Genomic DNA, 292 nt, shown 5'->3' with positions numbered 1-292 from the left:
CGGGAAGAGAGGGAAGGGAGTGAGAGCCTTTGCTTAGTAATTCCCTTAGTAACCCAGGGAATTCTTTCTTTTAAAAAAAATTACTTTAAGTTCTGGGATATATGTGCTGAACGTGCAAGTTTGTTACATAGGTATACATGTGCGGTGGTGGTTTGCTACACCTATCCACCCGTCATCTAGGTTTTAAACCCGGCATGTGTTAGGTTTTTGTTATAATGCTCTCCCTTCCCTTTTCCCCGACTCCCCGACAGGCCCCGCTGTGTAATTACGTCTGGAATTGGTGGGTTCTTGG

The sequence above is a fragment of the Homo sapiens genome, chromosome 4 (genome assembly GCF_000001405.40).
Source record: "Homo sapiens chromosome 4, GRCh38.p14 Primary Assembly".
Taxonomy (NCBI): domain Eukaryota; kingdom Metazoa; phylum Chordata; class Mammalia; order Primates; family Hominidae; genus Homo; species Homo sapiens.
Note: the sequence above shows the minus strand (reverse complement) of the source record.